Source organism: Homo sapiens, chromosome 1 (genome assembly GCF_000001405.40).
Source record: "Homo sapiens chromosome 1, GRCh38.p14 Primary Assembly".
NCBI classification, from domain to species: Eukaryota; Metazoa; Chordata; class Mammalia; order Primates; family Hominidae; genus Homo; species Homo sapiens.
Window position 1 is genome coordinate 94,254,729 of NC_000001.11, and position 23,701 is coordinate 94,278,429.

Genomic DNA, 23,701 nt, shown 5'->3' on the forward strand with positions numbered 1-23,701 from the left:
AAAATAGAAGCATAGGATGTGGGTCAAGGGACAGTGGATTCCAGAAGGACCCTGTGAAGATGTTTCACAGAGAGCTGGCATTTTAATTTACACAGCTTTTCTTGAACACCAAGTCAGTGAAATGGAGCTGCCAGATGCCAATAACAATGTTGTATTCATGAATCAGTATTTGAAGTGCTATAAAAACTGAAGGTGGTTTTTGGTAGTGGGGACAGGACTTTGGGGAAGAGGAAAAGACAAAGGACATAAAGATCACAGCTTAGGGAAAATTTCTTGAGAACAAAGTAGACTACTGATTTATCTAACAATGTGTTATAGGTTGAACTGTGTTTGCCACCCCCACGCCACCAAATTCATATGTTAAAGTCCTAACACCCAGTACCTCAGAATGTAACTATATTGGACATAGGGGCTTCAAATGGGGTACTTCAATTAAAATGAGGTCATTAGTGTATGCAGCCCCTAGCCAATGACAAGTGTCTTTACAAGAAGAGGTGATTAGGATGCCAACACACACAGAGGGAAGACCATGTGAAGACAGGGAGTGATGGCCATCTATCTACAAGTTGAGAGAGTCCTCAAAAGAAACCAACCATGCTGACACCTTGATGTCAAACTTCTAGCCTCCAGAACTGTAAGAAAATGAATTTCTGTTGTTTAAGCCTCCCAGTCTGCAGTACTGTGTTATGGCAGTCCTAGCAGAGTAACACATAAGGCAACACTATTTAAATGACAGGACTTAAATAATAACAGCACTGATGGGTTCTAGTTGGATCCAGGACCATCCTCTTCCCTTCCCTGTAGAAATGTTAGTCCACCTGTGGCTGCAAATTGCCATTATCCAACTTGTTAAGTGCGGCATTTCTTCCTAATATTCACAAGTCACACAATGAGTCAATATCACTCCTACTCTGGGGTGTGGCCCAGGATAAGGCATCACATCCATTGTAATACTGTCATTAAAATGAGAAGGCAGGATGTTTACAAGCCTGGTGTTCTGTAAGTAAAGAATTTTCAGTGGGAGGAGATTGATTCGTTTCTGCTCAGAGTTGAAGGGATGCCCTGGTCTCTTCATTTGTATCTAAGAGAGGAAGAGTTAGTGTGGCAGTTTTAGGGATACTGTTGCTGCCATTGCAATTGGTATTGGTGGTTAGTTAATAATACTAATTCCATCACTGTGCTTGGTTTATAATATGAGCTCAATAAGCATTAGCTTACTTTTCTATTCTTTTTTGGTTCTATAACATTTCACAGTACACAAAGCTCTGCTACACACATTAACTCAGTCTTCAAAACAAGTCTGTGAAATATGAATTATTGTTATCATCCTTATTCAGCTACTAAGAAACCTGTATCTCAAGGAAGGTGAACTATTTACTCAAAATTACACTACAAGTTAATAGAAGAGATTGAACTCAAAGCAAGGTCACCTGTCTCCTCAAGCAGGACTCTCTCCGACATACCCACCAGCTCTAGGTAGTTAGTTCTATTCCTCTCTGTATGTTTTAAATAATCCATTTTAATCAAGGAATGACTTTCTGTATTCATCAAATATTCTTGATAATGAAGAGCTTTGATATTTATTACACAGATTGTATCTACCCTACAAATATTACATGAATAAACACTTTGCACATACAAATGGGCAGAGAAAGAAAATGCCCCCAGAACCCCTTCATAAGTTACCTCCCTTCTACTGAACTTGGGTCAGAATTTCTTAAGAATAATTGTTTAGAAGATACTTTCTCTTACATAAATACAGAGTTCCAATTTAACCAAAACCAGAAATAGATTTAACAGTACTAATCTTTTTTTTTTTTTTTTTTTTTTTTTTTTTTTTTTTTTTTGAGACAGAGTCTCGCTCTGTCTCCCAGGCTGGAGTGCAGTGGCGCGATTCTCGGCTCACTGCAAGCTCCGCCTCCCAGGTTCACGCCATTCTCCTGCCTCAGCCTCCCGAGTAGCTGGGACTACAGGCGCCCACTACCACGCCCGGCTAATTTATTGTATTTTTAGTAGAGACGGGGTTTCACCATGTTAGCCAGGATGGTCTCGATCTCCTGACCTCGTGATCCGCCCGCCTCAGCCTCTCAAAGTGCTGGGATTACAGGCGTGAGCCACCGCGCCTGCCCAACAGTACTAATCTTTATATATTCTATGGTTTACTTTTTATTTTACTTCGTGTATGTTTGTGTGTGGGATAGGGAAGTAACATTGCTCCTATAGGTATATACTTTTCAGGTTTTTTATGCTAGACTTAGAAGCAAACTTTTTAAAACATAATTCATTCATTGGATGGAGGCTGTTTGAAAATTAAGAATTTTCAAAGAATTGATTTATGATCCTCTCAAACCAATCCTTTTATGATTCAGAAGACACTTCAAGAATCTTGGCTGGGCCGGGCATGGTGGCTGACACCTGTAATCCCAGCACTTTGGGAGGCTGAGGCAGGCAAATCATGAGGGCAGGAGATGGAGATTATCCTGGCCAACATTGTGAAACCCCGTCTCTACTAAAAATGCAAAAATTAGCTGGGTGTGGTGGTGCACGCCTGTAGTCTCAGCTACCCGGGAGGCTGAGGCAGGAGAATCACTTGAACCCTGGAGGTGGAGGTTGCAGTGAGCCGAGATCAGGCCACTACACTCCAGCCTGGCAACAGGGTGAGACTTTGTCTCAAAAAACAACAAAAAAAAGAATCTTGGCTGGGCACAGTAGCTCATGCCTGTAATCTCAGCACTTTGGGAGGCTAAAATGGGAGGACTGCTTGAACCCAGGATTTTGAGACCAGCCTGGGCAACACAGGGAGACCCTGTCTCTACAAAAGTAAAAAAAAAATTAACTGAGCATAGTGGCACATGCCTGTGGTCCCAGCTACTTGGGAAGCTAAAGTAGGAGGATTGTTTGGCTTGGGAGGTCAAGCTTGCAGTGAGCTGTGATTGTTCCACTGCACTCTAACCTGAGTGACAGAGGGAGATCCTGTCTCAAGAAGAAGAAGGAGAAGGAGAAGAAAAGCTTCCAATGTATCTATGACACATGTGACATTATCCTAATGATATATGCTCTATAACAGCAGCAAGGACTAGTTAATAGGCACTGGATGATGACAGAGTGTTGCCAACATTGTATAGGTAGTCTGTGCCCTATTGGAAATCTTATCAGAACCCCTGAGAGCACCTGAATGAAGTCCAGCATATGCACTGATTTGATAACTCACTCCATACCTTTTCCTTCTTAGAGAAGGAAGATGATGATAGAAGCCCCGATCAGGGATGTTGGATTCTGGTGTTGGAGGACCAAGTATTAGGTATGATATGACAAAGTATTAAAATAGAAGCTCAAAACTCAAAACCCTAGACAAACAGAGAGACAAGACCTCCTGCAGGAAGTATCCATTCCTACTTACCTCCAGACCACTGGAGTCATGGGTAACATGACCATTCCTAATTTGCCCTGGACAGTTTCAGTTAACACTAATTGTTCAGGTAAAATTATTGATAGACCCTTCTCTCACTCTCAGAAGTGTGCCAATTTGTACATTACAGTAAATGTGCCCTCTAGTCATAGGAGAACTTATGCTCAGTATTACCTGGTCTCTCAATTTTTTAAGCCAGGAATTTGGATTTTTATAGAACATTTCTGAATTTTTTAATGTGGACAATAAATTCCAAATTTTTAAAATTGTCCAGGCCAAATAAAAATCATGAGAGGTGGAATCTGGCCTGAGAGCTGCCAGTCTGTCATCTGTAAGTTAGAAACTCTAGCTGATACCACAGTGTTCTTTGCCTTCCCTCTTTGGAGACCTTAGCTCTCATGGGCTGTTGAGAGAGGGTCTTAGGGGGCTCCCACAGGGGAAAGCCTTCTGCTTTAGGCAGTTCCAGTGGTAATCAGGGAAGGGTCCAGGAGACAACAGGCCTGATAGGGGCAGTTTAGGCCAGTTGTTCAAGGCCTTAGTAATGATTATAACTAGCGCTTCCTATGTAGTAAGGTCTTACATAGATTATCTTATTTACTCTTCACAATCACCTATAAGGAAGATATTATGATCTCCATTGCTCTAACGAGGAAATTGAGACTTAAAGAGACTAATTAATATGAACAAGTTCACCCAGCTAGTAAGTGGCAAAACCAGGGATCTGAACTCATGTCAGACTTGACTCAAAAAACCCACATCTTTATCCTCTGTGTCTGCTGCTTCCCACTGTAGAGAGATCAAGTTTTTCTTTCCCTTGTGGTGTTTTTCATTTGGGTGAGTCATTTTTGAGCTCTTGTCACCATGGAAAATCATAAAGTCTTGACTCTGAGTCTGCAAGAAGATATTTTCTTGCTTTCATTCAGGTATGTAGAACACAGGCCAAGTGGTTCAGCCCAAATCTCTAGAACAAGGGTGGGTGGGGACAGGCAGTGGGGTTTAGGGCCAAATTCCCAAGTAGTCATAAGGAGTGTTCTTTTACTAGGTGTCTGTCCCTTTTGCCTAGATTCCTTGGAACTCTGCCAGTGATGGGCAGCTGGTCAAAGATTTGAGATTTCACAATTCCAGTCATCTCTGTGACCTGTATCCATTTTAGAAATACAAGTAATGAATATACCTCATCCAACAGAGACTAGGAAAAGCATAGAATTTTTGTTCTAGTATTAATTTGACCAAAGATTGGACATGTTGTAGTGGATCAAATAATGTCCCCATAAAATGCATGTCTTCCCAGAACTTTAGGATGTAAGCTTGTTTGGAAATAGGGTCTTTGCAGATATAATTAGTTCTAATGAGGTCATAGTGGATTAGGGTGGGACTTAATCCAGTGACTGTTGTCCGTACAAGAAGAGAAAACAGAGACACAAGGGGAAGATACCTGTATAAAGGAAGAGGTAGAAATTGGAGCAATGTACCTGTAAGCCGAGGAACACCAAGGATTGCCGGCAACCATCAGAAACTAGGGAGAAGCAACGAGGGATTCATCTCTAGGGACTACAGAGGCAGCATGGGCCTGCCTTGCCTCCAGAACTGTGAGAGAATCCATTTCTGTTGTTTTAAGTGATGCAAGTTTGTGGTAGTTTGTTAAAGCAGCCACAGGAAACTAATACACATGATAAAGAAAAAAATTTAAATACTAAAATGCCCTTTCAAGATGGAACAGGAATCTGTGTTGGAAGTTTAAATTTCAAAGCTCCCAAGTCAAAAGTTCAGAGAGCATTTTCTGACTCACTGTTGGCCGAAGAATGAACTTTTCAGAGAGGAAAAGTGTCCTCCCTGCATAATGCAAAAGTCTCTACGGAGTTTCTGTAGAGGACCAGAGGCATTCCATGTGTTGATTCAAAATGGCTTAGTTCTGATCTAATCTTGAGCAAGACTTGCTTGTGTTTAGGAAGTCCATCTACCAATGTCTACCACCATTTGCCACGTCATCACAAGCCTAAAATCTGTTATGCCTGGGATGAGCCATGGACATTCGAGTGTGCATTATATGGTAGCCTTTTCCCATTTTCTGCCATGTTTGCCCTGTCTATCTGAGGGGCTTCTGGCTCAGTTTCCCTTTTGAGACTACGATTCTGACAACCAAACCAGCTTTCGTTTCTCTAAAGACAGATCCCTTCCTTTCTCTTACCCCCAGAGGGGCCCTGCCTCAAATCTGATGGACTCTCTGCATTGCAGAGGGATTTCTTACACTTTCAATTTTGGAATGCCCATAGCAACTCTGAAGAAAGCTGGTCACAAGCTCCTATATCCCATCCTCAGCTGATTCAATCAAATTTGGGTATCTGGTCCAAGAGCAGCTCGTCTGTAGGCCTGTCAGTGTTCTATGGAGTAATCTGGCAAGGAAGCTTTACTTAATGAAGGAAAGAATAATCAATAGCACTAATAGGACCTTCTGTCTTGGAGAGTTTAAATAGAATGCTTTGTAGGGGTATGGGGGACTTGCTGTTGGTAGTAGGTAGAGAGATTGGAAAGACACACAGAAAAAGAAACCATGTGATAGCAGGCGCCATTAGTGAGCTGAGGCCATGAGACAAAGAAAAATGAAGGAAGTTGGCTGGTAGTGGCAGGAATAGTCAAACAGAGACAAGAACAGCTGCATCATCATAAAAGTGGCAGAGCATTAAGGCAGCTGATGCTGGTGTCTGAGGGCCCACAGGATAACTCAAACTGCATTGTGTTCTAAAGCAGCTTCTATCTTATAAATTATGTTCTGGTCTCTGTGAGGCATAGCTGTGCAGCTGTTGAGTGTTTCCTGACTTCCTTACAACCTCCTGTGTATCCCTGCAATGCCACCTTCCTAATTCTGCACCCCCATTAACTAAGGTAAATGTGTCTCTGTTCTTGAAACATTAAAAAACCAGGCCATGAAACCACCATCTCCACTACCGAATTCCATCAGATTGGACTTTTTGGAAACTATCCAGAGATTCTGAATGTACACTCTCCTCTTAGACATCAACACTTGGAAAGTCCCTTACTATTGCTTGGCCAGACCTTCTTACCTCAGCTCTGTAGCTTCCCCTTTTCCAGTTCACCTGCTGCAGAAGCTCAGACATGCTTTATAAATCAAGGCACATAGGTTATTATAACACTGATCTCATTTAATGTAATTTCATCTCCATAATTGAACATAATGAAGTAATAAACACTTATTTGTGTTTACTATCACAAGTTTGGGTCTCATTTGGCTTTACTGTGTTATGCGTGCAGGTCAAGTGTAGCTACATCTCAACAAAATTAAGACGATTTTGTAGTTTAGAAGTAAGGTTAAGATTTGGAGTCTTGAAATGATCCTATGCCTAGAAAACTCCATAGTCTTGACCTGAACGCTCCTTAAGCTGATAAATAATTTCAGCTGTCTCAGGATACAAAATCAACATACAAAAATTACTAGCATTTCTATTCGCCAACAACAGTCAAGCTGAGAACCAAATCAGGAACGCAATTCCATTCACAATTGCCACAAAAATAATAAAATACCTAAGAATACAGCTAACAAGGGAGGTGAAAGTTCTCTACAAGGAGAACTACAAAACACTGCTCAAAGAAATCAGAGATGACACAGACAAATGGAAAAACATCTCATGCTCATGGATAAGAAGAATCAAAATCATTAAAAAGGCCATATTGCCTAAAGTGATTTATAGATTCAATGCTATTCTTATCAAACTACTGATAATGTTCTTCACAACTAGAAAAAGCTATTTTAAACTTCGTATGGAACCATAAAATGAGCCTGAATAAGCAAGGCAATCCTAAGCAAAAAGAAGAATGCTGGAGGCATCACACTAGCCAACTTCAAACTATACTACAGGGCTGCAGAAACCAAAACAGCATGGAACTGTTACAAAAACAGACACATAGACCAATGGAACAAACAGATTGCTGAGAAAAAAGGCCACACACCTACAACCATCTGATCTTTGACAAAGCAAGCTGACAAAAACAAGCAATGAGGAAAGGACTCCCTAGTAAATAAATGGTTCTGGGATAACTGGCTAGCCATATGCAGAAGATTGAAACTGGACCCCTTCCTTATACCATATACAAAAATCAACTAAGGATGGATTAAAGACTTAAATGTAAAACTCAAAACTATGAAAACCCTGGAAGACAACGTAGGCAATACCATTCTAGATATAGGAGAGGGAAAAGATTTCATGACGAAGATGACAAAAGCTATTGCAACGAAAGCAAAACTTGACAAATGGAAATTAAACTAAAGAGCTTCTATACAGCAAAATAAACTATCAATAGAGTAAACAGAACCTACAGAATGGAAGAAAATGTTTGCAAGCTATGCATCTGACAAAGGTCTGATATCCAGCATCTATAAGGAACTTAAGAAAATTTATAGCAAAAAAACCAACAACCCACTTAAAAAGTGGGCAAAGAACATGAGCAGACATTTCAGAAAAAGATATACATGCAGCCGATAAGTATATGAAAAAAAGCTTAACATCACTGATCACTAGAGAAATGCAAATCAAAACCACAATGAGATACCATCTCACACCAGTCAGAATGGCTATTACTAAAAAGTCAAAAAAATGACAGATGCTGGCAAGGTTGCGGAGAAAAAGAAACACTTGTACATTGTTGGTGGGAGTGTAAATTAGTTCAGCCATTGTGGAAGACAATTTCTGTAAGATCTAAAAACAGAACTACCATTCAACCCAGCAATTCCATTACTGGGTATACACCCAAAGGAATATAAATCGTTCTACCATAAAGACACATGCACACATATGTTCATGTGCAGCACTAGTCACAATAGCAAAGACATGGAATCAACCTAAATGCCCATCAACGGTAATCTGGATAAAGAAAATGTGGTACATATATACAAGGAATATTATGCAGCCATAAAAAAGAACAAGATCATGTCCTTTGCAGGAACATGGATGGAGCTGAAGGCCATTATCCTTAGCAAAGTAACATAGGAACAGAAAATCAAATCCTGCATGTTCTCACTTATAAGTGGGAGCTAAATGATGAGAACACATGGACACATAGAGGAAAACAACAGACACAGGAGCCTATTGGAGGGTGGAAGTTGAGAGGAGGGAGAAGATCAGGAAAAATAAATAGGTAGTAGACGTAATACCTGGGTGACGAAATAATCTGTAAAACAAACCCCTGTGACACAAATTTACCTATATAACAAACCTGCACATGTACTCCTGAACTTAAAAGTTAAAAAAAAAAAGGTTTGGGGTCTTGTGCATCTGGTTTTCATCTGCAATCAGAAAATGCAGTGCTCTAACAATGTTAGACATCATGCAGACCACGTACTCATGCATAATTATGAAATATCACATGAGGAGGCAGAGCCCTTCAGTGTAATGAATTCCATTCCCTTCCCTATTTCCCCTTGGGTTTTACATAATATGTTTATATTTTCTGCTTATAATAATACAAGATTCATTTTAGAAAATTGGTTAGAATTCTAAAATAATATATAATATCACTATCCGTGATAGTGACTATTAATACCTCAGTATTTTTCCTTTCAGTCAATGTTTTCTCCTGTGTGGATATATGTAAATTTTTCACAAAATTGAAATTATTCCATGTACACCACTATGTACTTTGGTTTGTTCTGTCATTTTTCACTTAGCTTTTTATAATATAAACATTTTCCCATGCCATTCAAGAGCATGATTTAACGTGGCCACATAATAGTTCATCTTCTAGAAGTTCCTTACTTTAGCCAGTTAAAAGTTCTCTGCTATTGAGTGCTTGTATTGTTCCCAATGTTCTTTGGGTATAAGTAACACAGTGGTGAGCATCCTTGTTAAAACCGAGCTTGCATCAATCCTATTTCCCTAGTTGAGATCCCTAGAAGTGTAAATTTTGGGTCAAAGGCTGGGTATATTTTTATAACTCTTCGTACGTAATGCCAAATTGATCTCCAGAAAGAACAAACTTATTCACAATCTTGGCAGTAGCATATTGGCAGTAGCTGTAGTGAGATGGCGGTAGAATGGCCATCTGACTATGGCAACCCTTGATTTCTTTCTTCCATGATTTAGCACAATTCTCACTGAGCCTCAGGAGTTCTTTGGTTCCTCTCTGAGTCTTTCTGCATTAGATTCTGTGTTAATTCTCATCTCATCTCCATTGTTCATGGTTGGTGCTCAACCATCCAAATCCTGCACCTTCTGTCCCAAGACTGAGAAGACTCCATTTGGGAAGAACATCAACAGCCCTCCCCTACTAATCAGTAGGGGTCTGGAAATGGTCTTTGGCTCACAGGCTGAAACCTAAGACACAGATGCTTTGGTGTGTTTGGGCAGTGGTTCTCCCTAATGCCCCTGGATGCCCATCTGTGGCTGCCTTCCACTTGCTTCTTTTGGGCTCTTGAGTTCACTCAGGGGAGTCCCATCCTATGTTCTGCCATCAAGCTGATATTTGCTTTCTCTGCATCATCTCGGCCTGCCTTATTACCTGGGGCTCAGTCACCTGGTCATCTCTTGCTCTTCTCCACCTTCTACTAGATAGACTTCCCCAGATGATTTAGCTTTGCATGTCACAATCCTCCATCTCACCCCATCCCCGGTCTTTGCCAAGGCCACTGATCCCTTATGCTGATCTCCTGTATTAGTCGTTGCTTTGACTTTGGCACTTGTGAAATGGGGCTATATTTTCTATGCATTTGTTTAATCTTGGTCTCTTATTGCCACCCCCTCCTTTGGGTTGCCACTTCTGCCCTAGCTTTGCCCCTGACTCTGGTGACTCCCTTTCACTTTGGCTCAAGGCTTTACTATTCCCAGCATGCCCTGGCCCGTATGTTACAAGCCCAGTGAGAAACTGATACTTCAAGACTTTGCTTCAGAATATGAAAGGAGTGTATTAATTATGCATAGAAGGGCCATGGCAGTTTGCCAGCTGCATCTTAACGAACTCTATTCCACTCCCCAGACATCCCAGCCCTTCCCTACTTCTGTTAGGTCCTTCCTGACTCATTTTGTTGAAGCTCCATCTCTGGCTTCAGCATCCTGACTTGCTTCTGACCTCTGGCCCACCATATGATATCTCAGTGCCCAGTTTGGCTCCCCTTCTGCCTTGGCATTGCTGACCGGGTCTGGCTTCCCTGTGAGCTGAATCTATAAGCTGCCCTGGCAGGCATGACCTCGCATTCCTGATGGGCCTGCTTCCTCCTTGGCTCTGGCCCTGCTCCAGAAGCTATGTGGATAGGATATTTTAACCCCTCCAATTTCAGTTTTCTACTGAGAATGTGGGGCCTAATATGTGAGTATGGGCAGTCCAGTCTCAGACCATCCTTTTTCCAGCAAATCCTTTCCAGGGACATACCTTGGGAAGGAAAGTGGATAATAGGGGCAGCCACTCAGAACTGAAGAAACTCTAAGAAATACACCAGCAATTATTGCCTGGAATGCCCTGATCATCCCTCTATAGCGTGTTCTTACCCAGTTCTATGTTACCAATTTTGAAAAGCTACCAAGGTGCTTTTATCTAACAGTTGTGGGGGTCTCCCACCTTTCTACTGCTTCTGCTCCCCAGACTCCAGTGACTTTTTCCTTAGACCTATTGCTGAATGTCTGAATCACCCTGCTTCAAGGGTGGGGGTGACTGGTCACCTTAGTAGGTTCTACAAGGTGAGAGGCTGTGGGTGCTATTTCACCAGAGGGAATGGGGGAGCACCAAAATCAAAAGAGTGAGGATATGTTTCTTGGTTCATGGGAGCCAAAGTCCAAAAATCCATGAGTGTCTGGTGCCCCTCCACTCTAGCAGCTGCTATAGACTTGGCATAGAACAAGCATGTGATGCAGGGAGACTGGGAAGAAACATTGCTTTTGTTTCTGGGCTATTTTATGAGCCAGCAGGGCAAGGCACATGGTGGTGTTCTTTCTGGTCAAGCTGCATTTGATTAAAGGAAACCGAAATCTACTTAGGGTTCAGGCGATTAGAATAAGAGGAAGAGCTGGCCTTTCTACAGCAATGCTAGCAGGAAAATAGAAAATGACAGGCAAATGGACTGGCATGTCCAGAGCAGTGAGTCAGCCAGGCTCAAAAGCCAGGCATTGAATGAACACTGGTCACTGTCATTCTGCTCCTTCTATGGCATGCTTATTCCTTGGTTTCCTCCTGATTACAAAAAGACTAGAAACTCCTGGGGCCCGTGCTAGTCCAGAAACTCCTCTCAACAAATCAATATTCTCTCACCTCCAAATTATGTTGGGGAGTTATCGGAGCTTTGAATGGAGTTCTGAGTCTCTCTTCCTGATAGGGACTAATTTTTTCTGAATAGTGTGCTCACTGTGCTAACTGAAGAGCTAACTCCTTACCTCTTCCATCTCTTCTTTCCTTCCCCCTTCATGAACTGAGCCCCTTCATACTATGGCCTTTGCTTCTTTTCACCTGCATTGTGGTGGGGCTCAGGGTGTAGAACACAGAGAGAGGCTGGGAGAACCAACTCATTCCCATAACTCTGGTTCTAAAGAATACCATTCAGGTGGAGTACCTGTTAATCCATCCTTATTAAATTCATGGTAACTTATCTCTTAGTATTCATAGCCTCTCTAGCACTGAAGTTTTCCATCCTAAGTGACTTGAATCAAACTTTCTGATTGCCTTCACGTTCCAGAGACACATACACAAATCAACTATTTGCGAAAACCAATCATTATCTCCTAAAGGAGGCACACCTATTGACATTCTTAAAGCTTTACAACTTTGGACATCTTACATGTGAGGAAACTAAGGCTCAATGAGGTGAAGTGACTTACTTGCCCAAGGTCACATGAGTTAATGGTAGAGCCAGGACAAGAAGTCAGATCTGCTCTCAATCCAGGGATCTTTCTATTATGCTATCATGCCTTCCTCAGGATTTTGCTCATCTTTGGCTTATGCAACACTATATCTCAAGTTGAAATTACTCCCATAGCTTAGAAATAGGACAGTTGCCTCGTTAGCATTTTCTTTCTGCCTTTCTACAAAGGAGTCTCAAAGTACTATGGACTGTTAAAGTAGAAAACTGGGACCTTATGGGGCCATCTTAGCTCCTCAACAGGTGTGTTAGTAATCCCAAATTCTGGAAAGTCATTGCTGGTGTGTTCTCAATTAGGATGTGGTCTATAGTTTTGGTTTCCAAAGGCTACAGTGTCACAAGTCTTGCATATGGATTGTGGCCATGAATATCCTTGAGTGACCTATGTTAAGTACTGGGATCAGGTAAAAGTGTAATGTGACTGTCAAATCCTATTTTCATTTTTCTTTCTCTCACTCAGTTTTCTCATTCATAAAATGAGTATTCTTTGAGGTCACTGTATGAAATAATCCAGGAAAAAGGCTTAACACTGAGCATATCTAATAGTCAGTGCCTCCCAAATAATAGTTGTGAGTGAAAATTTAATTCACCTATGTTTAATCTTCCATTTTATACACGAATATAATAAAACATTGTGGAAAGATAGCATAACATAAATAATGAAATAGTGGGCTCCAGTGCCAAACAAATCTGGAATCGTATCCTGACCTGGCCACTTGCTAACTGTGTGATCATGGGTAAATTACATAACTTTTCCAAGACTCAGTTTTCTCATTCATCAAATGAGCATTACTTGAGATCACTATATAAAATAATCCAGGAAAAAGGCTTAACACTGAGCATATCTAATAGCCAGTGCCTCCCAAATAATAGTTGTATTATTGCATTCCTTTGAACTATCCCAGTCTTCACTATATAATAAGAGACCTTGGATGCTCAAGCTGCTAGATGAAATAACTACATTTTTTTGGCATATTGGTGGTGCTAATATTTGTTCTGTTACTTTTTTCCCCTTTCTGTAGCTCTCTTCATTATTTTCACATGGCAAACATAAACTTCTTCTGATAAACAAAAAAACTAGTAAATTTCATTATAGTTCTGTTTAATACATTTATTTTTAAAATTAGTGTGTCTGTTTTAATTTAGATATTCATTTTGAATATAGCCCTTGAAACTCTTAGTTTAATTTAAATATTTGTATTACATGGCAAGACCCATAGACAATATTCAATACATTGTTTTCAAAGATATCCGCTTTACTAAGTCCCTTCTCTTCTTTAAGTTTTTGTTCAAATCTTACCTTCTTAACAAAGCTTAATCTGATCATCCTATTCTGCAAGCTTCTACCTTCTCCTACACCTACCACTCCCCAGTCCCAGGAACTTTCACCCTCCCCTACTCCTGCCACATCCCCCCAGCACACACACACATTGGCATCCCTGAACCCACTTTATTCTGCTCAATTTTTTTTCTACAGCACTTATCACTGTCTAATATACTGCATACTTTTTATTGTTTATTGTATGTTTCCACATGGGTAAGGGTTTTTGTCTCTCTCTGTTTCTCTTCATTAATACTTTCAAGTGACTAGAATAGTGCCAGGGACACAGTAAGAGTTCAGTAAGTACAATAAGTATTGGTTGAATGTTTGTTGAATGAAGATACTGGCATATTTATTAAGCTAGATGTTCTTAAATTATCAAATGATTATCTTCTTCTTCTTTTTAGAAACTGGGTCTTGCTCTGTCATCCAGGCTGATCATAGCTCACTGTAACCTTGAACTTCTGGGCTCAAGAAGATATATATATATATATGTGCATATGATATATGATATATGTAGAGAGAGACAAATCCCTGAGCCATTAACCTCTATTTGTCTTCCTGCTAAGCCTAACTAAACTTTAGTAGTGACTATTTTTGTATGTATGTATATATATACACACATTATACATATATAATATGCATATAAAGGCACATCCATATACATATGTAAGAAGGTTATATTTTTTAATGGTGCAATAACTTTTAAATCTCTCAAACAGCATAGTATTTTTTTCCTCTTTTCTATTTTGAGGGAATGTTTATTTCTAAAGAAATAGCTATTTCATCACATATCCCACAGAGTAATGAGTTCTCTAGGATTTCTCTGCTTTTACCTAAATTAAACTTGTTAGTTGCTGCTTAGCCCTGACTGGATTCATTTGATTGATTGATTCGTGAGCATTCATGTAATTAACTTATTCACGTCCCATTATTTGTCAGGCATTGTGCTAGGTTCTGCTTATAGACGACGAAAGGACAAAGTTCCTTCCTTTAAAGAATCTAATCTAGGGGAAGTAACAGACAAGTTTAAACCGCGATTATAATGCAGTGTAAGTGCCTCATTATAGCTGACAACAGGATGCTAAAGGAACACAAGCAGTTAGGAGATACTAATAGTCTGTAAGTAATCTAGACCACTGCCAAGTTCACCCTGAGACAGTCAGGTTTTCAGGATAGGACCATCCATTTTGTCTGCTCTGAGATGGTAATTGCTTGTGGTCAGAAACAGAGGGAGCAAAATATATCATTATTATTATTACTATTAATATATTTTAATAACAATGATGGTAAGGAAAAGACAGTTTACAGAATAAGAAATTCAATCTTACTCATAATTGAAGTAATGCAAATTAAAATAATAATGCAATAGATTCATTCAATTATTGAGCACCTACTGTGTGCCAGGCATTGTTAAAGGTGCTGGGGGTATAGTAGGGACTAAAGCTGACGAAATCATAGTTCTTAAAGAGCTTGTATTCTAGTTGGGGAGACATAAAGTCAACAATTGAATAAATAATAGGTAAGTGCATGAGCTTATAAGTAGAGTCCTGGTTGAAGCTCCGTTTACTGGGGGGTCTGCTGGGCCCATGAATCCAGATAGAGGTCATTTTCGTAGTCCCCAGTTATAAAATTGAGATCAACATACATGAAAATTGGAGAAAATCAATGGGATGGACAACAATATTACAGTTTTGCTCCAGGCTACGTTAACTATCCTAATCATTTGTCATAAAATATTCTGAAAAAGAGAGCTGCACAATCCAGACTTCCCTCAAAACACTATGACATTGATAAATTCATGCTGATCAGGCAAAAAAACAAGAGGTGGTTAGCATGCTGGAGACCTTGGTCAGATACATACACTCTAGAATGTGGAAAATAAACTCTATCAAGATTCAGGGATCTGCCACTTCAATAAAGTTTTTGGGGTCCAGTGGTCATAGATGTCCTGGGATTACCTCCAAAGCAAGAGACATAGCACTACATCTTACCTTCTCTACTCATTAGGAAGCACAGAGTCTGATGAGCCTTTTGGGTTCTGCACTTTTTGAGAAATAGCTCTTGATGTGTGTAACTGTGCCCTGGCAGACATGGAATGTGTGACCATGGGATGCCAGGTACCCGGAACTACCCATTATGAGTTGAGTTATTTTGGCGCTGCCATATCATACAGTCAGACATTCCCAGCAATAGTCCATTAAAAGATGAAACTGGTACATTCAGTATCCAGCCCAAACAGCACCAGAGGGCCAAGTAAATTTCATGAGCAGGTGACCCAGGACCTCATGACCACAGCTACACCAGCACCTCTCCCTCAGTTGGCACCTATGCCATGCAGGGATCCCTACATGATCAGCTTAAACAGAAGGAAAATGCCTAAGCTTAGGTTATAGACAGATGAGCTTGGCATGTGGGAGCAAGTAAAAAATGGATAGCAGCTTCCTTACTGCTACCATCAGAGACGAACTTGAAAGACAACAAAGAAAGTAAATTTTCCCAATGGGCAGAGCTGCCAAGCAGTGTACTTGAATACCCACTTTGTGAAGACAGAGAATGGCCCCAAATGGGAATATATATTAGTCATCTATTGCTGCATTACAAATTACTTTAAAATGTAGGGGGTTGAAATAACACATGACTCACTGTTCCTGTGGGTTAGAAATCCAGGTGTGGCTTGGCTGGACCCCCCAGCTCAGGGGCTTTCACAAGGCTGCAACCAAGATGTTGGCTGAGCTGGAGCCATCTCCAGGCTCAACTGAGGGAGACGATCTGAAACCAAGCTCTCTCATGTGATTGTTAATGGGATTCAGTGTCTCACATGATGTTAGACTGAGCGACTTGGTTCCTTGCTGTCTGTTGGCCAGAGGCCTCCTTCAATTGCTTACCACATGGGTCTCTATAGGAGAGCTTGCTATATGGCAGCTGGTTTCTATGACAGTAAGCAAGTAAGAGAATAAAAGAGGATAAGCAAGATGGAACCAAAGCCATTTTGTAACTAATCTCAGAAGTGATGTCCCATTACCTTTGCTTTGTTCTATTTGTTAGAAGTAAGTCACTAGGTCCAGTCCACACTCAAGGGTAGGGGATTACATAAGGACACCAATACTAGTAAGAGAAGATTATTTCTTTTTCATTATTTGATAGACATATTTATTTTCTATTGCTTCATTTTTGTTTCTCCCCGTAAGAGAAGATTATTAGGAGCCAGATTAGAAACTGTCTACCACAAAACAGATTCCTGGGCAATGACCAGTAGCAGTGGCCCATTAAAACATTGGAATGGCCTACTGAACATGCAGCTCAAGTGCCAATTTGGTGGCAATATCCTACAGATGGAGTGCCATCCTTCAGGACACAGGACGTCTTTATGAGACTGCATCCCCTCTCTGAAGAATACAAAAGGTGGAACAGGAGTAGTCTCACTCACCATTACTCTGAATGACTCATTCTGGTAATTTTGGACTCTTCAGGATTCGAAGTTCTGTTCCCCAAAGGAAGCACTCTCTTACTTCCTTTGAAGTAAGGGGACAGAGCAAAGACTTCCACTGAAGTACAAGGTGCAGCTTCTACCTGCACACTTTGGAACCTTTGTGTCCAGAGGCAAGTAGGTAAGAAGTGCCCCCATCTTGGCAGGAGTAATTAATCCTGATCAGCAAGAGAAATGGAGCTGCTTTTAGACAATGGGGGCAGGGATGAGCCCAGGTTATCCACTTGGGGACCTGTTGATAATCCCTCACTCAATTATAAGTGTGAAAGGTCACAGACAGCAGTCCTGGTATAGGAAGGCTATGAACACCAACAGCTCAGATCTCTCAGAGAAGAGGGTTAGGGTTAACCACCAGGAGAGCCACCAACGCCTGTTGAAGTAAAGGTTGAGGGTAAGAGAGACTTAGCCTGGATAGTAGAGGAAGGAGAGGGTGAGTGTCACTTTGGCTCTAAGACTAACTGCGGAGATGGGACTATGGGACTATAGTTTGTCCCACTAACCTCCTTTTTCTAAGATTCTCTTCAGGAAGACAGGACTATGGGAACCATGGTAGAGCTGCTCCTTGAACTTGTGTGGAGAAGGGGATCTGTGAGGTGAAGGCTAGACTGTGGTGACCATGAAAGTGTGTTGCTCAGATCTCCCTTCTGGATAACCAGGTGCAAGGAGGTAGGCAGCCAACAGCCTCCAGCTGCTGCATCTTTGAATACATCCAAGCATTCACTTCAAGGTCACAGTCTACCTAGGCTGGTCCAAGCCAGTGATTGAAATGGGAAGTACTACAGCTGGGTCATTTATGCCTAACATGACACTCCTCTGATGAATAATCTCAGCTCTGGAGCTCTCTACTGGCCTGGCTGAGACTTGTGGCAAGTTGCAGTGCAGTCTGAGGTTCCTTCTTCACAATTCTCCTTCCCCTTCTCTCCTTCCACGGAGGTCAGACCTGCATCACAGTCTGAAGGCTCTTCCCACCTATACCTGCTCCCTTGCCCCTGTATCCTTCATGGGCTTTGTCCCCAGTAGATCTTATGCGTGTCTAATTCCTTTTTGGCGACTGCTTCTTGGAGGACACAAAATGACCCAGAGCAGAGGGACCTTATTTCTTGGAGTCGAAGATAAAATTCCAGAAAAAAGTATCTTCAATGTAGACAGATTCTAACTTAGCATGTAAATGTCCCAATTATACAAATCCAGACTGTAGAGTAACTTTTGGAGAATAGATTTATACATTAACAAACACTGTGAATTCTTGTTGCTATGGTCAATTGGACACTGTGACCAAGCAGGTAACTCCTCAGATGGATAGATGAGTACTTAAAGGATTGAAAGTGGGGGTTGCCTACTGCGTCAATTCCTGTAAGACAGTCTTGATCAATGCCAAGACTTTGGAAATCCTGAATACTAAAGGCAAAACTGTAACTCCATTTAAGCTCCATGATCAGAATGAGAAATAAGTAAATATCAAATGAGTCAGAACGCTCTCCTCCTTTGCACGAGCTAGTCTGCAGTACTCTGCAGGACGTTTTTCTGATTAAAGGGCTTAAGCAATTTATTTTAACAAAAGTGGTCAGTAAGCTTTCCAGCAATCAAAGTTGAAAGTTAAGTAAAAGATACCCTTGGAAATTCTTGGCTTGGTCTCTTATTTATCACTCAGAACTTTCTTGATACAAAAAACCATTTGATATTTTCAGTGTTTCCTCCCACACTACTCCACCCTCTGCATTTTTCAAAGAAATTTAATAGAACTGCTGTGGCTTTTTGGTTTCAGAGGCAATTGAAATAATATGTAAGATAGATAGACAATTAGGGGATAAATGTATAAGAAGTCAAGTCCTACTTCCGTCTATTATGACTGAAGCTTGTGCAAAACAAACATCTCATATCACAGCATGTTTATTAAACATCTGAAAGATCTTGCCTTGGATTTTTTTTATAGAATTAGAGAAGTTTTTAGTCTTTTTTTTCTAAGAAACTGACTAGTTTAGTCACCAAAACCTGATTGAACCCTAAGTTCTTTCAAATGTCAGTGCCTCCATTAAGGCTAGGGAATGCTCTGGCTTTATTTTGATTAAAAATTTAAAGAGCAGATGAGCAGTAGCATTAAAAAAAAAAGACAAGAAAGAATGTAGGCAAATGTTTTAAAGTTATAAAAATAACAGTTAATAGTTACTGAACACCTAGTATGGGCAGGTTTATAGAGATTATCCCATTTATTCCAAAAAAGAACGCTGTAAGACAGGGTGTCATTATTATCCCCACTATCCAAATAAGAAAACCAAGATTTAGAGACGCTAAGCAATGTGCCCAACCTGTCACACAGTCAGTTCCACATGATTCTAGGGCAGGAGTTGGCAAACCCTTCTATAAAGAACCAGATGTAATATTTTCAGCTGTGCAGGCCTTACAGTCTCTGGGTCTTCATTGCAACTACCAACTCTGTTGTCGTATCGTGAAAGCAGCCATCAATGATAACATAAATGAATGAGCATGACTGTGGTCCAGTAAGACTTAATTTACAAAAACAGGCCAGCTAGATTTGGTTAGTGGGCCTAATCACTGTGAATGTTTCTCGTTCTTAGGTGGCACCATGTTTTAAATTGCAAAGCACATAAGTTACTTTCAAAGTAAGTGTATTTTAAATCCTACAGAGAAATTCTAACCGAGTTGAATCTAACTAAGCTACAAAACTTATTCCTTCAGCAAATATCAGTCAAGTGCTTATTGCTGGGATGTTGGCAATATGGTGGTCACAGAAACCTTAATGGAGTCTAATGTGGGAAAAAAGACAAGTAAATAGAGAGTTATTGTTTCCATACACTGTGATAAGTGCTATATTATGGGGCAGGGATTGGGATACCAAGAAAACATAGCAAAAGGGCAACAAACCTGGCCTGGGCAATTAGGAGGCCTCTGGCAGTACAGGCCAATGGTCCTTTGCCAACTCTCTGCTCCCACCACCCAGCTCCACTCTCCAGGAGCAAAGGTTAAACAGCAACAGCTGGAGCATGGCTTCAGCTTGCTGTCCGGTCTCCATGGGCTTCAAGCTCAGGCCCTTTACAGTCTCATGAACCAGGGCCTGCCAATGTCACCTGGAGATCTGTTCAAATAAATCACCAGTTCGTTTTTAAGGGTCTTGTTTTCTCTAGCTTTGCCTTGAATCCTGACCCTCTCTAAGAGGCCATAGTGCTCAAACTCAGTTGTCATCTACTCACCCAAAGAGCAGCATGTAGAGCAAGTGGGTAAGCCTGGATTAACCTACCAGGGGTTCTGAAATCTGGCTGTCTATGAGCTACTTACTTGAATAGCATTCTAGAACTCTGAGCCTAGCGATTTAGAAAGTACTTGTTGAGTGGATGAGAATCCAACTTTAAAACAAGCTCCACAAGTGTGTCTGGTGTGCATGAACCATGTTTGGAAACTGCTGGCCGGGAGGATTTCTAAAGATGCATTTAGCCTTTCCAGCCAACTATTTATTGCCATGGCTACATTTACAAACATCTTACTAAGAAGGAAGGGAAAATTGAAATGGTTTTAGGGATGTTTACCATGACTTTTACCTTCCCATCACTACCATGTAAAGACAATGGTTTGTTTGATAGGCTGATGTGTGGGAGTCAACTTTGTTGCTCTAATATGTTGAAGAATGGTCAGGAGTTCCTCTTTGTTAGGTAACAGAACAAAAATGTGAATCTTGGATGGATGATGCCTGTATGCTCAATTCAGGCATGCTTTACACAGTAAAAGAGCAGTAGCTGTGTATAAATTGAGCCTAGCAAAACACAGGAGAATTCTTCATGCCTTCAGGTTCAGGACAGGTGCTGGTTGGCAGTCTTCTTAGCCCCAGCGTTGGTTTAAACTAGTGTCCAGTAGGGTTACTGAGTTCCAGTTGGCAGATGTTATAAGCAAAGGAAGGAAAAGGGTTTTTTTAAAAAAAAGGAACATACGAACATATAAGAGAGTGTGTTAGAACAAAGAAGAAAAGATATGTTGGAGTGGTAGAAAGTTTCCTATTTCTTGATTATGCTTTAAAAATTAGGTCAGTTTTTGGGTTTTGGGTTTTTTGTTACTCCAAAGACCTAGAATTCTCAGCTTCTATCACAAATCAGGGCATTTGGGTAGAAACAGAGCTACAAGATTAGCAGAAGGGTTTTCAACCTTAAAAAAAAAAAGTTTTGGGGCCGGGATTGGTGGCTCATGCCTGTGATCCTAACACTTTGGGAGGCTGATGCGGGCAGATTACTTGAGGCCAGGAGTTCGAGACAAGCCTAGCCAACATGGCAAAACCCATCTCTACTAAAAAATGCAAAAATTCACTGGGCGTGGTGGGGCATGCCTGTAATCTCAGCTACTTGGGAAGATGAGGCACGAGAATCATTTGAACCTGGGAGGCAGAGGTTGCAGTGAGCTGAGATCACACCTCTCCACTCCAACCTGAGTGACCGAGCGAGACTCTGTCTCAAAAAAAAAAAAAGTTTTGGAAGCCATCTGGATATTAAGTTATTGCTTAACTTCAGAGCATAGGATAGGGGAGCATCTTGTTAGACTGCAGAGATATTAATAAGATGGTCTGATGGGGCACTCTCAGAGATATCAAAGGATATTAAGCTATCATTGTTCATATATAGAGCTGGTTTTTAGATTTTTTTTTTTTTAAAGATAGAAGCATTAGGAAGTCCTGAGTCTCAAGCTGGGCACAGTGGTTCACACCTGTAATCACCTGTCTGTAATCAAAGCACTTTGGGAGGCTGAGGCAGGCGGATCACTTTAGCCCAGGAGTTTGAGACCAGCCTGGGCAACATGGCAAAATCCCATCTCTACAAAAAATACAAAAATTAGCTGGGCATGGTGGCGTGTGTCTGTAGTCCCAGCTACTCAGGAGGCTGAGGTGGGAAGATCACCTGAGCCAAGGAGTTTGAGGCTACAGTGAGCTATGATTGTGCCACTGCACTCCAGCCTGGGTGACAGAGTGAGACCCTGTCTCAAAAAAAAAAAAAAAAAAAAAAAAAAAAAGGACTGTGTCCCAATTCTCTATTCACTGTAGTTCCTATTACTAGCATATTGGAAAAAAGTTCTCATCCTGTATGTTCCTTAATTTCTTTTTTATAAAATGTATCACCTGGCTTCCGGGCACTGCAAAGGGCCAGCTTACTTTACCTAACAAATACAACTTAAGCGTCTTCGTGCTATCCAGCCTGTGGGTGTAACTCCCCATAGCTATGACCCCAAAATTGTTACTGTGGCCTTTATGAATACTGCAAAGGAAAACAGGCCTGCTTCTAACCAGTTTCGACACAGCAGGAACTTTCCCAAATAGTACATTGGCTGTGGAGCAGAGTGCACTTTTTCATTTTACTTTGGAATGTATTTTTATTCTAACATTGAATATGGGTTCTCTAAAACGCTGGGAATTCAAATGGACTTTAAATAAAATAGTGTTGCCATTCTCGGAAGATCTTGTTCCTAGGAAATTGGAAAGCAGGCCAACTTCTCATTCTTAAAGATGAGTTAAATATGCAGAGGGAGGGAGTAATGTCACAAAGAAACTGAAAGGCAGATTTGTCATGGATTTGGACGATCAACATTTGGCTGTACTGAATGAGACAGTTCAGACCTTATTTTCCCTCAGATCATGCTCCCTTCCACATTACTGCTCAAGGTAAAAGCAAATGCCTACTTTTACCATTTTAAATTTATTATAAAAAGTATATGTAAGGAGTATTTTAAATATATTATGAAAGTTACTTTTTGAAAGTACCAATTATTTTGTAGGTGGATCAGGTTCACCATTAGTATGGAAGAGAAAAAAAATAGAGGATTATACTACCCAAGTCTGACTGGGAAGGAGGAGGACCATTCTATTTTAGCATATAAAGAAGTTAATATTTTAATTTTCCTCTTTCCTTTTCTCTGCAATTCCCTCCTCCTTCTCCATCAAGGTAAATTTTCCATGATGGGATTGGCCTGACACAGTGATGGGAGGAAGAAAGGAAGAAGAATAGGCTAGTGTTTTGCTTTTCCCTAAGTCTAAGATCTTTATTGGAGGGAGGCAGATTGGTGACAGTCTCCATCAATTGCTGATGGGTTCTCCAAGGTATAGCTACTGAAGGGAAAACAATTCAAACCCTCAGAAGCAAAGGGGCTAAGTAGTTTTTGAAAAATAGACACATCTCAGTAGCTTTGGATTATCTACACATTTTGTTGGTATATTGGTCAGTTAATAAAATGTTTCAAGTAGGCCGGATGCAGCGGCTCATGCCTGTAATTCCAGAGCTTTGGGAGGCCAAGGTTGGAGAAGTGCTTGAGGCCAGGAGTTTGAGACCAGCCTGGGCAACAGAGCAAAACCCTATCTCTACAAAAATAAAAATTTTAAAAAGCTAAGTGTGGTGGCACACAGTTGTAGTCCTAGCTACCCAGAAGGCTGAGGCAGAGAGATAATTTCAGCCCATGAGTTGGAGTTTATAGTGGGCTATGATCATGGCGCCGCATTCCAGCGTAGGCAACAGAACAAGACCCTGTCTCTAAAAAAAAAAAATTATTATTAAATTTTAATTTTAACTTTAAGAAACTCTTTCAAGGAATATTTCTGCATACTGATAACATACCCAATTCTAATTCTACTACTTACACAAA

The 23,701-nt window shown here is 40.8% G+C and overlaps 1 protein-coding gene and 1 long non-coding RNA gene across 7 annotated transcripts in view, besides 1 other annotated feature; one reads left to right on the top strand and one right to left on the bottom strand.

Moving 5' to 3' along the window:
• ARHGAP29 (Rho GTPase activating protein 29) overlaps window positions 1–23,701 on the bottom strand; it is a 145,688-nt gene that overhangs the window by 85,824 nt on the left and 36,163 nt on the right. Inside the window, exon 1 of one of the 3 annotated variants that reach the window (XM_011542439.3) lies at window positions 20,284–20,341. The exons of the other annotated variants lie outside the window; for them this stretch is intronic. The gene's annotated coding sequence lies outside the window, so the exon portion shown is untranslated. Of the gene's footprint in view, window positions 1–20,283; window positions 20,342–23,701 lie in introns of those variants that run through there. 3 annotated transcript variants of the gene reach the window in all.
• The window catches only part of ARHGAP29-AS1 (ARHGAP29 antisense RNA 1), an 86,939-nt gene that overhangs the window by 6,861 nt on the left and 56,377 nt on the right, over window positions 1–23,701 (top strand). The window lies entirely within an intron of this gene.
• Window positions 15,777–16,976: an enhancer, noted in NCBI's record as "P300/CBP strongly-dependent group 1 enhancer chr1:94736061-94737260 (GRCh37/hg19 assembly coordinates)". NCBI's record gives its function as "activates an origin of replication core promoter dependent on BRD2, BRD4, P300/CBP, MED14 and CDK7 cofactors, with strong dependence on P300/CBP, by STARR-seq in HCT116 cells {active_cell/tissue: HCT116}" and the evidence as "EXISTENCE:reporter gene assay evidence [ECO:0000049][PMID:35650434]".